The sequence below is a fragment of the Homo sapiens genome, chromosome 18, assembly GCF_000001405.40.
Source record: "Homo sapiens chromosome 18, GRCh38.p14 Primary Assembly".
Lineage (NCBI taxonomy): Eukaryota > Metazoa > Chordata > Mammalia > Primates > Hominidae > Homo > Homo sapiens.
The window spans coordinates 30,619,757-30,638,981 of NC_000018.10; the positions used below are offsets into that span (position 1 = coordinate 30,619,757).

At 41.2% G+C, this 19,225-nt stretch overlaps 2 annotated features.

The window, feature by feature from the left end:
- Window positions 11,764-12,488: an enhancer, noted in NCBI's record as "NANOG-H3K27ac-H3K4me1 hESC enhancer chr18:28211486-28212210 (GRCh37/hg19 assembly coordinates)". NCBI's record gives its function as "activates a minimal SCP1, AML or CMV promoter by ChIP-STARR-seq in primed H9 embryonic stem cells {active_cell/tissue: H9 hESC(primed)}" and the evidence as "EXISTENCE:reporter gene assay evidence [ECO:0000049][PMID:30033119]".
- Window positions 12,489-13,211: an enhancer, noted in NCBI's record as "NANOG-H3K27ac-H3K4me1 hESC enhancer chr18:28212211-28212933 (GRCh37/hg19 assembly coordinates)". NCBI's record gives its function as "activates a minimal SCP1, AML or CMV promoter by ChIP-STARR-seq in naive and primed H9 embryonic stem cells {active_cell/tissue: H9 hESC(naive and primed)}" and the evidence as "EXISTENCE:reporter gene assay evidence [ECO:0000049][PMID:30033119]".

A 19,225-nucleotide genomic window follows, 5' to 3' on the forward strand; every position in this document is an offset into this window, starting at 1 on the left:
GAAGATCTAGCCAAGATCATTTAAAAAGATGCCATCTAGGACTTTCAGAACTATAGAAAAATCTACATCAGGCTTCAATGGATACTGCAAACATTGTTGTCTTATTTTAAGAAATTGACACAGCAACCTCAACCTTAAACAACTACCACCTTGATCAGTCAGCAGCCATCAACATTGATGCAATACCATCCACCAGCAAAAAGATTAAAACTCACAGAAAACTCAGATGATTGCTAGCACTTTTTGGCAATATTTTTTAAAGTAGGTACATTGATTTTTAGACATAATACTATTGCATACGTAATGAACTACAGTATAGTGTAAACATCACTTTTATATGTACTGAGAAACCAATTAATTTGCATGACTTGGTTTTTTGCAATATTTACTGTATTGTGGTGATCCAGAATCAAACCTGCAATATCTCCAAGGTATATATGTATTCATTCAAATACTCAGAGGTGATACAGGAAAATGTAATGCATGGGGCCCACATTCAGGAAACTCAAATGTGTAGTAGGTGGAGACAGACTTACAAGCAAATTGTAAGCACCTAAAACATTGTAAGTCTCCAAAGGAAAAGTTGGAGGTAATGGCTGACCTGATGCTCAATAAATGAGTAGCGGGCCAAACCCAAGTGGGAAGAAGACTGGTTTGTTTGTTTCCCTCTTTCTTTCTTTTTTTTTTTTTCTTCTTCTTCTTCTTTTTTTTCTAGGGGGCAGGTAATAAATGTCTTAAGAATGATATCCAAGCATCACTAATATACTTCCTTTCCATGCAATTGTAATTTGGGATCATGTCAGTTTTATTCCCACTATATGATTTGCATATTGTCATAGCTATTCTATAAGTTGCTGTATTTTGAATAAATGTCAGTATGAGAAATGCTTCAAATTATGAGCAATACAAGTCATTCACCAGAGCAATTAGTTCTCATTTTACTTATATGCTCCTTGATTAAGAAAGAACCAAATCTCCGTTGGATGTCTACAGTGATATATTTGGCTGCTGTTTATTGGATGTGTGGAATGACACTGAGCACCATAAATATTCAAATTCACCTACTGCAAAACTCCAAATACGTTTTAATGTCTAAAAGACACAAGTAGTTGAATGTTGGGGAAAACAGGAAGAAAAAATTATATTGACAAATATGGCAAGCTCACAATGCTGATACTTGGTCAATTAGAATATAGTACATACAATAAAATATGACAGCAATTTTTAACATGTATACAAAAGAGGAATTGTATTATTATACCATATGCCAAAAATTAGTGTCATGTTATTGCTTGTGTTCCCAAAGACAACTGTTTTATAAGCTAGAAGTAATAAGATTTATTTTACTATAAATATGAATGATTTGATTTGATCCAGTATTTACATATTCTATTACCTTAGGGAAGTTATACAATCTCCTTGAGCCCTACTTCCTATCTTTCATAGTATTCTTGAGGTTTATGTCATACAAATACCAGCAAGCAAATTTTTTCCTGGCATATGGAGGTATTCTAAATAAGGTAAAGTATCAAACCTCAAAGAAGTGTAAAATATTGTATGCTCCATGTCGGCGCCTAATACAGAGTAACTTTACTGGTGAAAAGCAAAACAAAAAAAAGTTCCTGGAATGTCTAAATATCGGATTATCTTATCAGAAACATTTTTAAGAGAAGCTAAAATAATGTTAGTGATGATGCTGAATTTCATCTGAGCCCTAAAAACTGATGGTTAAAAAATTCTCCACCCTTTTGTGTATTCAGAAAAGGCTTTCTCCAAAGACCCTTCCTTCCCTATATGGCTTAGGTAAGATTTGCTCTACCCTTTCTACCGACTCCCATAAAACTGGAAGCTGGCTCCCTTGTTTATATGTGCCAAGACCAAAATAGACTTTTCACCTTTTGCCTAAAAGGACTGATGCAGCCCCTTCGACTTCCAGTCTTTTGTCTCATGAAGGACTAGGCGAGATTAAAACTTTGTTCATCGCTTGCTAGACATAAGAACAAACATTTTCTGTTCAGCTAACTGACTGAGGTTTCCGATTGCAATAACAGTCCCAATTGTAAATCCTTCACCTTTAACTTGCCTACTTCTCTGTAAAAGTTTTAAGGCAAAACCATCCTTCTGAGACTGATTCTCAGATCTCCCTATTGCAATAGTCTGAGTAAAATCAATTTCCTTACTTATTTGGCTTTTGCTAAAAAGATATTCATTTATGCATTAATCAAATATTTACTGAGTACCCACTATGTGTTCTCCCCTCTTCCAAGTTCTGAGGATTCCGCAGTAAACAAAACAGAAAAATGTCCTGATTTCAAAGAGCTTACGTTTTTATGTAAAGTGAAACAAGATTTTTAAAAATGGAAGCAAATAAATATATATGTGACAGACAATTGTACATGTTATAAAGATACAATATGGCAGGTAAGGGATAAACCGTGGCACAATGAGGAACGCTACATAAAAGTGCTAATATGTAGAGTCGTCAGAGTGGTGACCTATAATGACTTGAGAGACTGACATTGTTTGACTAGCTGGGAAAATTGCATTCTAGACATAAGGAAAGGAAGGACAAAGATGACAAGTTGATTGGTACAGAAACAAAGGAAGGCAGGGTGACTACAGGAGATGGCAAGAAATGACATAAAAGAAATGGGGTCTCATTTCTTTGTGTTACTATTCCATTCTCTCCTGGAATAGTGATGTTATAAATTTGTATAACTTTATATCTTGTAACATTGGAATAGTATAGTTATATTAATGTAGACTGTAAGAGGTGTGTGTGTGTGTGTGTGTTTGTGTGTGTGTGTGTGTGTGTAGGGGGCAGGGGCCAAGTAGGTAATTTTGATGCTTAATGTCCAACCTGTGTTTGGTAGTAGATAGTTCCTAATTCTCATAAGATTTTACCAAGAACAACTCATTAAGCTTTTGTTTAATTTTGTTGAAAACAAAGATTTTAAAAACTAGCAAAGTCATGATTTGCAAAACTATTAGTTACTTTATCATTTTAGTCTTCGATTTCCTCAGTACCAACATTAACATCTGTATGGCTCCCTAGCGTTTTTAGGGAAGTGTGCCATCCTGAGTTCAGGGGTGGCGAAGGTGTATGTTTCTTTTGTAAATTGTGAGAAGGGTAACCAAATAAGGAGAACCGGCACGAATTTGTATCAGGGAAGAACACAATGGAGAAAGTATTAAAACTATTTCCCACTTTATTCCTTGAAAAGTCTTTGTGTATCCCAATTAGTATGCACACATCACATTGAAAATCACCGATCTAGAAGAAAAAGTCTCAGAAAAAGAAAGAGGTATCCAGAAGACCCACTGAACAGTTTTAAGAAGGGGGACATGGTCAACTATGTCAAATGATGTAGCTTGGTTGAATAAAAGGAGGACTACATATTGACTATAGGATTTTTTGATGTGTAGGCTATTGATGAACTTGACAGTGGAGTTTTAATGTTGCAGTTCAAGAAACAATAGAATGAATTTTAATGGAACCAATTAGACTATGTAAGGTTTCAGTGAGGGGAGATACAGGGCAGTTAATTGCATGTGAAGCAGAGTCAAAATATTTCATTTTTGTTATTTTTGATTACGGCACATATACCTAATGTATTTGTGGTTTTAATTATAACATATAATTGTAACTCATATATATGCACACACACGTATACATATATAAGTACATATACACATATATATACACATGTAGTTAACACTTATTATTCATGAATTGTGTATTTGTAACTTACTTGCTGAAATTTATGTGTAACCACGAAATCAATATCTGTGGTGTTTTTCCAGTCATTGATGGCCACGAACAGTGCAGTAAAAAAATTTGAATCACTGGGTGTGCACATTCCTAGTTGAAGTCAAATGAGGTAATGCCAATGCTCTGCCTTCTCGTTTCAGCTTTTGTATTGTAAATAAGTGTTCTTTTCACAATTTATTTAGTTTCATTTTTTTACATTTTTGTGTTCTTTGTTGTTGATTTTCACGATTTAAAATGATCCCCAAGTGTGGTACTGAAATGTTGCTGTCTAGTGTTTCAAAGCACAAAAGCTTTTATAAGTCTTGCAGAGAAAATGTGAGTATTAGACAAGCATCATTCAGGCATTAGTCATAGTGCTATTGGCCCTGCATTTAATGTTGATGAATCAAAAATAATACAGTACATCTACAAAAAGGAAGAGGGAATTCACTGATCTATATGTGAGGCTGCTCTGGAAAGTCCTAAAGTAATATCTATAGTGTATGAAGAAAGCTATGGAGAAAATAGAAAAATAGATAAATTTGTACATTCATGAGATAATGACGGATAAAAGAAAAAAAGACTGTGAGTCACATTGTTATGTAAAAGCCAGAGAAATTTACAGTCACATTATCCAGGGTCAGAAAAATTTAAACCTATCCCAGCTAGGGCTGGTTGCCCCTCACATTTCAAAAGGATATCTGGCATGAACATGTTAAACTTGAAGGGGAGACAAATTCTGAAGTCCAGGGATGGAAGAATTTTTAAAATACTTGCTAAGTGTCACAAAGGATTATGTGGAAGAGCAGGTTTTCAAAGCTGATGAGGCAAGAATATTGCCAAATGAACCCATATATTGCAAATGGCTTTCAAATCTTCTAATTTTCAATCATTCAAAATCATGCAATTAATTACTTTTAAAAAAATAGATATTAAATATGGTGTCTTTAAACAGAAACACACATAAGATCAAACATTGTGGCCTGAGGTTCTCAGGAATCTAACCTTATATTTCCTCCATTTCCTCCAGGATCAGGGGTTGCATATTTTCTAACACAGTGTTCCCAGTGACTTTCAAGAACATAACTAGCACTAATATAGAGAAATAGATATTGCTATAGACTGAATGTGTCCCCTCAAAATTTACATGTTGAAAACTAATCCCCTATGTGATGGTATTTGGGGAAGAGATTTTGGGAGGTAATTAGGTCGTGAAGGCAGAGCCTTCTCATGAATAGGATTAGTGCCCTAGTAAGGGACTCTACCTAGCTCCTTCACCCATTCTGCCACGTGAGAACAAAGCAAGAAGATAGCTATCTATGAGCCAGGAAACAGGACCTCACCAGACACTGAATCTGCAGGCACCTTGATCTTGCACTTCTCAGCTTTCAAAACTATGAAAAATAAATTTTTGTTATTTACAATCCACCCAGTCTATGGTATTCTTTTATGGCAGCCTTAATAACTAAGACATACTTACATACATGTGTGTGTTTACACAGTTGTGTATCCATATACATGATGCAGGATTTGTTTTGGCCACTTTGTGGAACTCACAACAGGAGTGAACATTTACTCAGCCTACTGCGCTTAACCCTTTGTGGGAGGCAGCATGTGAGTGAACAAGTGCAAGACCTGGCTGGCTGCCCCAAGCACTGGGATGAGCAAACTCCATGTGGGGCCCATAGGCAGAGCAAGCACGAGTGAACGAGTGCAGGATCCAGCCAGCAAGGCCCATGTGGAGCTGATGGTGGGACCTAGGTGGGTGAGCCTGTGACCCCAAAGCCCCAGAGGGAGTGTTATAGTACTCTCTTAGCTCCTCTGTTTGTGAACAGCTGTGTGTTAACAGCTCAGTTGGCCCCTGCCTCATCGTGTGGGGCACCTGCCCTCTGCCAGTGAGGGCAAACAGCTGGTGTAACAGCCTTTTTGAGTACCTGCACTTGGTGGGTCCCGAGCTCTTGTCTGTTGTCCTAGAAGAATGAGGTCACACAGACACTGGAAGGATGGTAAAGGCGGAGGACATCATTGAGTAGTGAAAATGGTTCTCAGCAGAGAGAGGAGCTGGAGAGGGGACATGAAGGGCAGGTAGTCTTCCCCAAAGTCAAGCTGTCTTCTTTTCTTCTCCCCAAAGTCTGGCTGTCTCTTCCACAAAGTCAAGCCATCTTTCTTCCCTAATGTTTGGCTGTCTCTCTCTCTCTCTCTCTCTCTCTCTCTCTCTCTCTCTCTCTCTCTCTCTACTGACTGGGTATTTGGTCTTTATTGGCACAGAGTTGGGGCTTGGTGGGGTGGGCTGTAGGTAGTTTTGGAAAAGGCAACATTTGATTGGCAGAAAGATATTATTCAGAAAGAACCAATTGGGAGTGAGTGGGCAAACAGGAATAGAAGCTCTCACTTTGGGCCATGGGTTTCAGGCTTTTCAGCTTGAAGGTGTGGTTTCACCAGGAACCTACCCCTGTTTGCCTAGAATTTCTCTGCCTTCTGCTTCTGTCATTTCCTCCTCTGAAGAGGCACATCTAACTACCATTAGAATACAGTCGATGACTGATCTTAGCTACTTTCTGCTGGCAGAGGGCATTGTTTTAGAGAAAATGGCGGTCAAATTTCTCTCAGAGGCCTACCTGAGGTTCCCAGTAAAAGGGAGCTATTGTCTGATGCTCCAGTTGCCTAATTGCTACAAGTTTCATGGCCGCCAGGCAAGAAGAAACAAGTTTTACCAGGTTAAGTATGCATGGATCAAATATGTTTATTATAAAAAGAAGAGTTAAAAATGAAAGAATCTAGTGCCAAAGATTACAGAAATAAGAAGTGACATATACTAATCATTCTGAAAACAATATTGTGTCCCAGGTTGTTTCACTCGGGTGAAAGAAATTAAATCTTGTATGGGAGCAGTTAAATTTTAGAACAGATATAACTGTTTACGGGAAGAGATATTCCCATGGGTGTTCAGGAGTAAGGGGTCTTTGGTAAAGATTTGCCCCATGGTGAAGAACAGAATGAAGGTAAGAACAACAAGCATAGGCAAGACTATAAAGAGGATATCTATGGAAGGTAAATTATTAGCACTTATCTTTTTTGATTTTTAGCTTGAGGTTCCAGATTTCTTCACAATGGTACTTTGAGTGCTCTTCTGGGTTGACAGAGGTATCTCTGTCAGCTTCCCAGGCCTTTACTTGGGTATAATGAATCCAAAATGTTCTATTTCAGTGACTTTTACTGGCGTAGTAGAAAGAAATGCATTGTAACGTCCCTCCCAATCTGGTCCTATAGAGGGAGAAAGGGAAGGAAGTACCTTTACCAGTACCAGGTCCCCTCGCTTGAATAGAGGTGGCCCTAGTTCACAGGATAGGGGCTCCAACAGTTGTTTCAGTTCCTGTTGGAAACAGGCCAAAGAAATTACATGTTTAATCAGATCAGAGATTTCTTGGTCTAGCAAGAAATCCTTGATGAGAAAAGGCCATCCATACATCATTTTGAAGAAACCCAAACCCAGCTTTGAAGGGGTGTTTCTAATACGTAGTAAGGCTATGGGAAGAAAGGTACTCCAGGGAAGGTTAGTCTTCTGAAACAGTTTCCTGAGTTGCCCTTTGATAACATCATTCATCTTTTCTACCTTTCTCAAGGACTGTGGTCTCCAAACGCAATGAAGGTGGTATCGCATGCCTAATGCCTTTGAGACCCCCTGGGTGACTGTCTCCTAGAACAAAGCGCCATTATTGCTCCGGAGGTACTTAGGGAGTCCAAAGTGAGGAATTATTTCATGAATTGGTAATTTTATCACCTCAGAGGCTTTCTCTGTCTGACATGGAAATGTGTTTACCCAGTAATTGAAGGTATCTATCCATAGTAGGAGGAATTGGATGCCCCTTGCCTTTGACATATGGGCAAAATCCATTTGCCAGTCTTCCCCTGGGTAGCTTCTTGTTCTTTGAGTCCCAGGAGGAAGAAGCCATCAACTGAGGGGATTATTTTTAAGGCAAGTCTTCCAAGCATTAATGACCTCTTCATCCATTTGTAGCAGATTTTTTACCTGAGAATAACCTCTGGGTCAATTGATAGGTTTTATTTTTACCTAAGTGGAAGGCCTGGTAAAGGATTTTAAGAAACTTTCCATTGGCTGGCAGCTGGTAGATGAAGCTTGCCATCCTCCAGTTGTAGCCATCCTGTGGACTGAAAGATGTATCCCCAAGAGGTGGCCCATTCTAGTTCCACAAGAGAATATTGTTTCTCCATTATTTCTCTTATGGCGTCTTCCTAGATTAGAGGGGCTTCAAGTGGATCAGAAATCTAGGACTTCTCACTGCCGAATTAGCTACTTGGTCTGCCAACCTATTTCCTTCAGCTTTTTCATCCATCCTCTTTTTGTGGCCTTTAAAATGTATGACTGCCACTTCCCATGGGAGGAAAACTGAGGATAATAATCTGTTAATTTCCTGACGGTGTTTAATGGGAAACCTGTTAGCTGTGAGGAAGTTCCTCTCTTTCCAGGTAGTGGCATGGGCATGAGGGACTAGGAAAGCATACTTAGAGTTAGTATAAATGTTAACTGCTTTTCCTTTGCTTAATTTGAGCACCCTCATGAGGGCAATTAGCTCAGCTAATTGAGCACTTGTGCCCAAGGAGAGAGATGCACTCTCAACAAAGCCATTCAGGGTAACTATTGCATACCCTGCTTTATGGATCCCTTGCTCTACAAAAGAACTTCTGTCAGTAAAGAGAATCCAATCTGGGTTTTCTAAGTGGGTTTCCTTGAGGTCCTCTCTGGCTGCAGAAGTTTGCACTACTATCTGTTCACAGTCATGTTCAAGCTCCCTAGCTTCCTCTGGGAGGAAGGTGGCTGGATTTTGGGAGAGACAGGTTCTTAGTTGGACTTCAGATTCCTCTAATAGCAGAGCTTGATACCTGAGGAGGTGGTTGTCATTAGCAAGACACTCGCCTTAGAAATAGCAGTCCTGCCACATTATGTGGGGTATAAATGATTAAGTTTTTTTTCCGTCGTTAACTTAGTAGCCTCTGGTACCAGCAAGGCTACTGCTGCAACTTCCCCGAGGCACACCAGTCATCCTTTAGCTAGTAATCAAGCTTCTTACTTAGTCTACAGGCTGCAGGGCTGGACCTCGGGCCTGGGTTAGAACTCCCAGGGCTGTTCCCTACCTTTCTGATATACAAAGATTAAACATCTTCCCTGTGGGAAAACTAAAGACTGGTGCCTTAAGCAAGGCTTGTTTTAGTTGGTCAAAGGCCTTTAAGCCTCTGGTTCCCAAATTAGGGACTGAGATTTAGCTGCCTGAGTCTCCTTTATTAGGTGATATAAGGGACAAGCTATTTCAGCAAACCCAGGTATCTGTAGTCTGCAGAATCCTGTAATGCCCAACAATCCCCTCAGCTGCTTGAGGGTTTTGGGGAAGGAAAAGGAGGAGATGGGCTTAATCGTTTCTTTGCTTAATGCCCTGGTTCCCTCTGACAAGATCAGACCTAGGTACATCACTGAAGTCTAACAGAGCTGAGCTTTAGATTTTGAAATTTTGTATCTTCTGTCAGCCAGAAAATTAAGAGCCTTTCTGCCCCCCTGAGAGATTTCCTTAGTTGGGGAACAGAGGAGAATGTCATCTACGTATTGTAAAACTTTAACCTGAGGATAAAGGAACTCAGGGAGAGAGGTCTTTGGACAATGCCTGCCCAAACAGGTGGGGGCTGTCTCAGAATCCCTGAGGTAACACTGTCCAGGTTAGTTGGGTGGTCTGGTTGGAGGGATCCTCAAATGCAAACAAATATTGGGAGTCAGGTGTAATGGCATGCAGAAAAATGCAACCTTTAGGTCCAGAATTGTGAACCATTTAATTTCCTCAAGTATTTGAGTTAGCAGGGTATAAAGAATAGGAACCATTGAATGAATTTGAAGCACAGCCTCATTAACGAGACAGATGTCTTGGACCAGTCTCCATTTCCCATTGGGTTTTCGTACCACCAATATCGGGGTACTACAAGGGCTATTGCAGGGTTTGAGGAAGCCCTGCATCTTCAAGTTATCAATAATGGCTTCTAGTCATTTTCTAATTTCTGGTTTCAGGGGATATTGTCTCTAGTTAAGGAAGGAGGTGGAATCCTTAAGGTGGATCCAGACTGGTATGGTGGTTGCGGCTAGGTCAATTTTCCCTTGAATTGCCCAAACTTCTGGGTTGCTATCCATCTCCATTGGAAGGAGACAGAGTGTGTTCTGGGACCATCAGGATGGTGGTCTCCAGACAGGCTAGAATATCCCTGCCCAGCAGGGGAATTGGGCTTTCTGGCATAATTAGAAAGGCATGGGTGAACAAGAGGTCTCACCAACTATAACTAAGGGGTTGGAAAAAATATCAGGTTAAAGGCTTTCCTGAGATGCCCCTTATGGTCATGCTAAGATAGGAGTGGGATCCTGGTTGAAGAGGAGAACTGAAAGGCCCACTCCAGTGTCCCGGAAGAGGTCCACCTTTCTTCCTTTGATTTCCAGAATCACCTGGGGCTCCTGTATGGTAATGGTGGTCTGCACCAGCGGAGTCAGGGAAAGGAGCCCTGGGACCCATCAGTTCTGCTGAACCATTTGGGAGATTGTCTCTGGACCTGGTGATCTGCATCTCTGGGGACAGTCCACCCTCTGATGGTCCCCATTGCAGATTGAACAGGGTCAAGGTGGCTTCCTCATGCTATTGGGACAGTCCTTCCTAAAATGCCCTGGCTTGTCACATTGATAGCAGTTACCAGGTGCATCCCAGGGATTCTGGATTTGGCGGGCCTGAAATGCAGCCATTAAAGCCTCCACCATTTTCTTGTCTCTCCTCTCTCTCCACTGGCCCTCCTCCGTATCTCTATTGTAAAAGACCAAAGTGGCCACTTTCAGAAGGTTCTCTAAAGTACTATCTTGTCTTATGGCAGTTTCCTCCTGATATCAAAGGCTGCCTGAGTAATAAATTTATCTGATAAGATTAGTTGTCCCTTAACTTAATAAGGAAATAGAGGTGTGTTTTACCAAGGCCCCTCTTAGCTTTTCTAGGAAGGCAGTGGAATTCTCATCAAATCCCTGATTTATCATGGATAGTTTGAAGTAGTTGAGAGGCTTAGTGCTAGTCCTACATAAGCCCTCCAGTATGCACACCTGAAAGTATTTCTCTTCCATTCTCCCATTTTATCACTGGGATCCCATTTGGGGTTGTTCAATGGCACTGCTTCTCTTCCAACTGAATAAAACTCATCTCCTTCCCTGATACTACATGAGATACAAAGCTCATCCCCAAATCTCTCTTCCACTTGCAGAGCATCCTGCTTCTCAGTGTTAGGGTGTGTTTCAAAAGTAACATAATGTCTTTCCAGGAGAGTTCAAATACTTGGGCTAAGGTCTGGAAAGCCTATACATATCTGTCAGTGTCATTGGAACTTTTGCCAAGATCCCCCTTAATTTGCCTTAAGTCCTGGAGAGAGAAGGTGACTTGGACCTTACTGGGGCCATATTCACTAGGCATCTTTTGTAGGGGCAGGAGTGAGACTGGGGATTGTCTAGAGTGAGGGTTTCTAGGAGGGGACAAGTGGAAGAGAGAAACTGAATAGGGAGGACAGGGTGGACCCAGAGGAGCAGGGCTGGAAAGAGCTGGCTCCCCTGTTGTAGGTGCCTCTAGGGGTTGCTTCTTTAGTTTCCTGGGATTGCCCCTGGCAGCTTCTTCTGAGATGGCCAACAGGAGGGCTGGATCAATCCTACAATGTTGGCAAAGGTCTGAATTATCCTTCAAGGTAAAGAAAGCCAGCACATATGGGGCCTCAGATCATTCACCCTTGCATTTACAGAAAAGATCCAGCTGCAGGATGGCATTTAAATGAATGTTACCTTCCTGAGGCCAAGTCCTTCCTGGAAATCATAATATGACCAAAATTTTGTACAAAGTGCTATGAGGTATTTTTTCTCCAGAATCTGAGGGTCAAAGCAGTCCCAGTGGTTCAGGATACACTCCAGAGAAGTGTAGACTGAAGATAATTGATTATCCATCTACGAGAGAGGGAATTAGATGCCCCTTAGTTCTTTTCTCTCTTTCAGTGAGAACCTGGGGTGTCTAAGGGAGAGAAAAAAGGGCATTCTTATTTTTTCTCCTGTCTTTTTATCCCCAAGTCCTGGTGACCTAGACAGATGCCACGTAAACAGATGAATGTGAGGGTGACCTGCACGCCCCCTGCGTCAGGGGTCCTAGATGAAGGATATAATGGCATTTACCTATGCCATCTGTCCTCCCTATTGTCAGTAGCCTTTGCGTTCCCTAGACCTCATTTATGCCATGGATACTAGCATGACCTCTATCCATGAAATGGGGGCTTAATCAGCAATAATTAGTCATGCTCACCTGTGCTGTGTCCATTGACTTCCATTGTCCTGTGCCTCTGGATCCCTCAGATCCAGTTTCCCTTACTAGGGCTTTAGCCTGAAGGTTGAAATTGAGTTTGAGGCAAAAATGTGTCTCAGGAAAGTTCACATATTTATTTAAGTGAAGTCCCAGACAGCCCTCACCAAATTTGCAGCCAGCAGCTGGCGAGGTCTCTCCTCTGTTGCTTCCCTATCATAAGCAGAGTGCTAAGGTAGGAAAAAAACCTCTTGCATAGAAAAGCTCCCTGCATTTGCAGGGCTGTGTTAACTCCTCATGTGGTGGAGAAAAGAAAAAAGAAAGCCTAAGTGCAGGGCAGGGACAGTGCCTGGGGGGAAAAACACTTCTTTCTCTATGCAAATGGATTCTTTCAATAGGGAGAGACTCTTAATTGGTGTTCCCTTATTTTGATTCAGATTGAGATGGACCCCTTGGCCAGGAGAGGAAAGGCCCACAGTCATGTGGCAGGAGGGGGAAGTGGGTAGGAAATGCTGGCCAGATGGCTGTGCAGGGCCCCTGGCCTCAGAGACAGCCCTGGGGCCCAAGCTGTGGCCGTGGCTCACTCCCACTCCAGGTGGTCACTGGGCACAGTGTGTGCACACAGCAGCCTTGGCCACACATTCCAGCTGAGAGGGGAGGGAGGAGCAGAGAGCTGATATGTACCCATCTGTCCACTGTGCACCTGCAGCTGCTGGGATGGGGTTGGGTAATGCATCTGTAAGAACAGACAGAAATCACATTGTTCTGAACTGCATGTCTGATGGCGGGGCCAAATGTTCATTCTACCCAGTAATGTTTCTGCAGTTTGCAGTCACACCATTAATATTATTAAAAAAAAAGAAAAAGAAATAGAAGCCATTTCAAACCATGAAAGAAGGAAGGAAAAATACCATTAAAAATTCTGGGGGTCTTGGCTGACACCCTTATCGGGGGTTGAGGACAGGGCCAGTCTACAGGCCTTCTAGCAACACTGAAGAGTGGCCTCAGAAAGAGGCCTTTGGTTGCCCAGGACCTTTTTCCAGTTCCACACAATGGCTAGATCTCTGTGAAGGGAAACAAAGCAAACAGCCCTTTCACCTGAAAAAGAGAGAGGTGGCAGGGTCACATCCTGTCCTCTACAGTTGTGCCATTTGCCCTTACCTGGCCCCTCAGAGGTTTGGTGCTTCATCAGCCTTCAGAGGAAAGTCTGAGGACAAGAAGTCTTGCAGAAAACATGAAGAGTCAGATCTGCATTTACTCACCCATTTGAGGAATCCCAGACAAGCCCCCAGATGATGCAGGATTTTTCTCATCCTCTTTGTCAGACTCATGACAGGGGTGAATGTTTACTTGGCCCACCGCACTCAACCTCTTGAAGGAGTGAGAACCTGAGTGAGTGCAGTACCCAGCCAGCCACTCTGGGCATTGACGCAGGAGCAAGCTCCATGTGGGGCCCACAACTGCACCCAGGTGGAGGTGCCTGTGACCCCAAAGCCCCAGAGGGAGTGTTACAGTGTTCTCTTAGCTCTGCTGTTCATGGATGACTGTGTGCTAACAGCTCAGTTGGCCCCTTGCCTCATTACATGGGGCAGCTGCCCTCCATTGGCGAGGACAAATAGCTGGTATGACAGCCTTTTTGGGTATCTACACTCAATGATTCCCGAGCTCTAGTTTGGTGTTCAAAAAGTATGAGGTTGCATGGACACTTGAAGGATGGTGAAGCAGAGAACTTTACTGGATATGGTTCTCAGTGGAGAGGGGAGCTGGAGAGGGGATTGGGAGGGCAGGTAGTCTTCCCCAAAGTCAGGCCATTTTCTCCCCGAAGTCCACCCATCTTTTCTCTGAAGTCAAGCTATCCCTTCCCCAAATTCCAGGGGTCTTTCTCTCTCTACTGGCTGAGTCTGGGGTCTTTATAGGCACAGGATTGGGGCAGGGTGAGCAGTAGGTAGTTTTGGAAAAGGCAATATTTGGCTGGTAAAAATACATTATTCAGAAAGAACCAATTGGGAGAGAGTGGGCAAACAGGAATAGAAGTTTTCACTTTGGGCCATGGGTTTCAGGCTTTTTGGCTTGAAGGTGGAGTTTCAAGACAGGGACCTGCCTCTGTCTGCCTAGAATTTCTCTGCCTCCTACCTCTATCATATACACATACACATAGTCCTTGCAATGTTCCAGTAGATATGAAAAAAATTGATAATAACTGAGAGAGAAGAAACTATTTAAGGAGGAATATCCAAAAATTAATGAGATATTAGAATGCAATGTGCAGATTGAGCTTGGTGTCATTAGATTGTGGCAGTAAGTCAATTCATTATAACATAATACAGAGAAAACAAATGTACAGATAACAGCTGAGTTGGTCAACATGTAATTATACACATCTAGAAGTTTTCCAATTTTTCTATTCATGAATGGCATGGTTAGTAACTTAGAGTTAGAAGAAAGACAAGGTTATAGAGCTTTGAGGAAAGAAGAGCCAATAAGAGTTGAATGACAGAGTGAATTTACCAGAGAAGTATAGAGTAGGATTGCCTGGAAGGAGTAAAGCCCCTTTGAGGTTTGTAATAATGAATTTAAAATGAGTCCTGTCAGCATTTTTATGTTTTTTCTCAAACCACTTTCAGTTTTTCAGGTGCAGGAAGGAATATGTACAGAATTGCATTTAAACATGTTGAAGTTTTGCCAGAAGGAAGATTCTTAATGCTACAATTTAAATATATTTTTAGAATTTTAGAATTGGAAGAAACTTTAGAAGTTTTTTTTATTACCTTTGGGAGAAAAAAATCAGAACACAGCTTTTGAAGATGGATAAACTTGCTCTCAAATGCCAAGTACATTTATTATTAGTCATAACAAATTAGAAATAATATACTACTACTTTCAGACTACTTTAAGATTAAAATAAAACAAAACAAAAATTTAGAGTAAATGTGGATTGCAGGACCAAATACAGAAGTGGTATTAAAAAAACTAAATTTATTTCACCTTTGTCTGCATTTAAAGAAAGACTGGGGATCTTCAGAAACATTTAGAGTCTCAAAATATTTACAGCTTTTTACTCCACTGCTGCTGACTATTTTTAAATTCTTCAATGACTTTAACAGGAGAGAAATTTTAGTAGCTGAAGTACACTTGTCTGGATTCTCTTAATCTGATAGAATTTGCCTTTTCTTAAGGCCAGAGGGTCCCAATCACTAAGAATAACTTCTCTTTAGTGGCTTTCTCTTTTGCAGTTTTCATGTGGCATTAATCTTGGCCAATAGTTGATATAACACAAAAAGCTTTCTCTGTAGGCAGTTTACCATCAATGAAGAGAATGACAACACCGAAGCTTCCTTGTGAAAAGAGTAGACCTCTTCAAATAATCCTTCCACAGTACCTGACTTTAAAATAAATTTTTAGCATAGAACTATTAGAGTAGGTAGATGGCAAGACATGAGCAGGAGGAGAGACCCTGAGAAAAGGGAGGTCTGGAAAATCTCACACCCCAGAGACCACCAGGAATATGCATGTCTAGACTGATACACAGGTGTAATAAGTATAGATTTGATTGTTATACACCCTTTCTGGGGTGTCGGTAATAAGCAATGCTGCCATTAGGTAGAATTTGTATCCAACACTGGGCCCATGCATGCTCATCAATTAATAGTAAGGGAAAATCCCACAACTCTGGGCAGGAACTAGGCAGGGGGGAACTAGACAGGGGCAAAAGTGGGGACTTAAGGCTGCAGTGAGAAAATAAAGATGAAAAAGCAGAGGCCGGGTGCAGTGGCTCATGCCTGTAATCCTAGCACTTTGGGAGGCTGAGGCAGATGGATCACAAGGTTGGGAGATCAAGACCAGCCTGACCAACATGGTGAAACTCCGTCTCTACTAAAAATACAAAAATTAGCTGGGCGTGATGGTGCGCACCTGTAATCCCAGCTACTCAGGAGGCTGAGGCAGGAGAATCGCTTGAACCTGGGAGGCAGACGTTGCAATGAGCCGAGATCACACCACTGCACTCCAGCCTAGGTGACAGAGCGAGACTCTGTCTCAAAAAAAAAAAAAAAAAAAAAAAAAAAAGCAAAGACAGAGGCAGGAACTTCAAGAAAAAATCCAACATCATGAAAACCCAATGCAGTACTCTTGGGATTGCTGCTGGCTCATTCTCTTTCAGCATCCCAGTCTACCTCATTATTCAGAGTGTACTCTCTCTCTAAATAAACTCTCTGCCCTCTATTTTTCTTCAATAAATTATCTTTTTAGGCCAGTTGGCCTCTTGGCCAAATTCTTTCTCCCAAGACTACTAAGGACTGAGGATTCCTGCACTTTGCAGTACCAGAACTTCAACTTATTTAATGATGAATTTAAATAATTCAGCTTATTTATCTTCTCTTGGTGGTCACCCTTTTCCTTCGGTAAGTCCACGTCTTACCCAGTACAGGGCTCAGGTCTGCTGACAGTTCCATGGGTCTGACATTCAAACCTCAGACTTGAGGTTTTAAAATTCTTTCACTTCAATATTGTGGCAATAACTCACCATGTAAGTTTCTTTCTAATGTTGTAGCTCAATTCCATGCATGGACTCCTGCTTTGTTCTAGAATTAAGCTCATCTCAGTTTGTCAAGGCAGCTCCAGCCTTTCCGTCTGTGAGTTCACCTCTTGATAACGCATTTCTAGACAATCAATGAGTAGAAACCTGCTCTCTCATTCATACAGCCTACTCCCTCCTCCACCATACAACACACTAGCTATAGTAATATTATTTTGGTGCATGCTGTTACTGGGTACAATTAACCCATACCAATCACTTTTCCTGCGTCATCTATTTTTTCTACATAGCAGAAGCTTCTATTATAACAGTTTTACAAATGTAGATGGTGAAAAGAAAGTTAAACAGTTCTTGCTCTCTTGAAGCTACATCCCAGCAGCAGAGACAGTTATTAAGCTGCTAATTGCAAAATTGACTATTAAATGGCAGTAGTAATGAGTGCTGCAACAAGACAAGAGTACACTAGGTACCTATCATGAACTGCAGACCTGGCTGCTTTGGGGAGGTCAGGAAAGTTGGGGACACACTCCTTGAGGAAATACTATTTGAGCTAAATTCCAAAAGATGAACTGAAATTAACTCTAATGATGGAGGAGGAGGAGGAGAAGAGTGGGCATTTCAGAAAAAAAAAAAAAAAAAAATCCATCCTAAAGACATTGCAGAAAGAACCAAGATAAAACACTGGGACTGGGGTGCCTAGACTGAAAGGAAGAGGAGCAGAGGATGAGCCTGTGGTCAGAAGTCAGGCCATGAAAGACATGAAGGCTGCAGCAGGACTTTGTTGTATCCTGAAAGCAAGGAGAGCATCTTGAAGTGATCTGGGAGGAATGACGGGAGGGAGGTAGCTGGAATGAAAGCTGGGAGAATGGTTCACAAAGAATTGCAGTACTGCAAGATGATGGCCTTCTGTGGAGGTAGATGGGAAGGAAAAAGTAAATGGGATTAAGGCAAATTTGGTAGGAAGAATAAGCTGAGTATCATGGCTGCATTAGCTATAGGGGTAAGAGTGATGAATGAATGCTAGCCAGCTAGACAAAGTACCATAACCTTAATAAACCAGAATGATGATCTTTTACAGTGTTTAAAAGTTTTCTTACCTCAGAGTATCTTTCTAGGTTTGAAAGTGTTTTCTTTCATGGTACATCACTGTAACCTGGAACTAGGAAACAGAGAAAGCCTAGATTGATAGAGTTGAGAAGGGAAGTTCAGCCATGGAGAGGACCCAGAGAGCAGGTGGCAAAAGAGTCAAAGATTAAAACCAAGAAGTTAATTATTTGCCAATATGACATTAGGTACCAAGTGATTTATTTGCAGAGCTGCATTCTTGGCAACTTTGGATAATATACATAATCTGTGAATACTATCATCACATAATTACTGTTTACTGAGTGTCTCCCTTCTACGAGGTATACATATTACCTGAGTTTATAAATTTCCTAAGGCTAATCCTCTGGGGGTAATATTCTTAATGATCACGTGGCTCATCCGCAGTTAGAAAGGTGGTTCCTAGCAGAGGTTGGATAAAACCTAAGTCTGTGTTGCTCGTAGGCTGAAGCTTAAAGTCAGTCTGCAACACAGTAAAGCAGAGAGAGTCCGTGAAAACTATGTCTTTGTTTCCTCACACTGCTGAGGGTTGTAAGTCAAAACCAAACTCCAAATTGTGACCCAAGTCTAGCTAAACACAGGGATGAGGTTGCCAAGGGATCTCAAATCCTCTTTTGATTGGAGTTTCACATTCTGATTTGTCTCCAAGAAAATGGGTTAGGTGAGTCCATTTCTGTGTATTATCAAAAGCCTGATATAGTGGGGAGTGGGTATAGGTGGAAGATGTAGGTGAAAAAGCCAGGTGAATTTTGGGGGACATAGATAGGACCTACTTAAAGCAAGAAGTGGTATATTAAAAGTACCTGACACCAGCTTAACACTTTCAAAAGTACTAAATGAAAGCACAGTTACAGTTTGTTTTATAGTTACTCTCTAAAAATAAACCTATTGTTCAACTTAAAAGAAAGATCGTCTTTAGTTTCCTTTCAGACTGGGAATGCTGAGATTCTTTCCCCATATTGCACCCGTGTTCAGATGTCCATATCTTCCAAATCCCTTTTTAGTGTTTCTTAATCAAATTTTTCTCCTTCTGCAAGATTGGCCAGTTACCTCTGGTGTTAAAATTTCCTCTAGCTTGGGAGATTCCAAGTATCCAGGAATATTTGCAAATGTACAATTTATGGCATGATTGATTGTTCAATGTGTTTTACAGGTTATTTTAGTGGCATAAAAATTATAGTCCAATCCTGCCTTTAGAATCATGTCTGTTGAAACTACTTTTGCACACACCGCCGTCCTAATCTGTCAGATGTGTAGATGATTGGTACAGAAAGACAATGGTAAAAGTCAGAGCTACTTTTTCTGCCCTACATTAAACATTCTCTTGAGCTGTGTGTGCTACTGCAAGTATTGAGTTCCATTTGTGTGTCACTGTCTTCTCCTACAGAGGAATAGCTTTCAAATGTTCTGAGTTAAGAACTACCTTGGAAGAAACTGTAAAAATAATGTGCTCAAAAAAAGAGGCTTGTTTTTGAA